This window comes from Homo sapiens, chromosome 8, assembly GCF_000001405.40.
Source record: "Homo sapiens chromosome 8, GRCh38.p14 Primary Assembly".
NCBI classification, from domain to species: Eukaryota; Metazoa; Chordata; class Mammalia; order Primates; family Hominidae; genus Homo; species Homo sapiens.
The window spans coordinates 61,767,213-61,768,026 of NC_000008.11; the positions used below are offsets into that span (position 1 = coordinate 61,767,213).

The 814-nt window shown below is 35.1% G+C and overlaps 2 annotated features.

Annotated features, from left to right (window-relative positions):
- Nucleotides 350-494: an enhancer, noted in NCBI's record as "145 bp enhancer 71 fragment used in the MPRA reporter construct; PK_construct_5211". NCBI's record gives its function as "activates an SV40 promoter by MPRA in HepG2 cells {active_cell/tissue: HepG2}" and the evidence as "EXISTENCE:reporter gene assay evidence [ECO:0000049][PMID:23512712]".
- Nucleotides 415-428: a transcriptional cis regulatory region, noted in NCBI's record as "HNF1 motif; enhancer activity is reduced when this motif is scrambled". NCBI's record gives its function as "necessary for full MPRA enhancer 71 activity {active_cell/tissue: HepG2}" and the evidence as "EXISTENCE:site-directed mutagenesis evidence [ECO:0005528][PMID:23512712]".

Genomic DNA, 814 nt, shown 5'->3' on the forward strand with positions numbered 1-814 from the left:
ACTTTGTCCAGCTGAAGTAATCTAAAAACCTTGATGGGCTGGAAATGGTGAATTTTTCTTCTGTTGGTGACTAATGCAGTGAGCAGGCAGTTTTTCTAGTTCTTTTAAGGCAGCATCAGCCTAAAAGGTCACGGACAGGCATTAGCAATGCGAGAGTACACAGAAGTTAATTTCAAAACAAATAAAGTGGATGGAGCAATTCAACAACTGTGCATTCTGAAATGCAAGTAAATGACTTATATGCTCAAGTGATTTGAAGCATAAGTATTGATGACTTGTGTGGCTTTTAACCATATCTGGGAAACTCTCATGTGAGTATTTAATCCATTCATACACAGCAATTATCTTCTATAATACCCTAATGAGTGACTAGGCAGTGAAGTGTAGTGGAAAGAATGCTTTTCTTGGTTTAAGAGTTAAATATTAATAGTTGAAAAAAGACTTTTCCTGAGAGTCACCTGGTGGGAAGGGCAGATGGATTAGGGTTTGTTTATCTGCTCCCCTTTTTAGTTCTGTTAACTTTGTCAGTAAATACTTCGGAGCCTCAATTTGCTTATCTGTAAAATGGAAATCTCTATTTTCTCACATGATTGTTGGGAAAATAAAATGTACTTAAGTGTACATTGCACATAGCCATATATTTTTAAATATAAAAGGGGTCTTCAAAAAGTTTGTGGAATATGCTATAATGAACATTATGCCCAGAGTTTAAAACTGTTTTGCACCAAAATGAACTTGAACTAACTTGTTATAGCATATCCGAACAGGATATAGTTTGGGACACTAAGAAAGATAAAACATCAGTTTGAAAAGA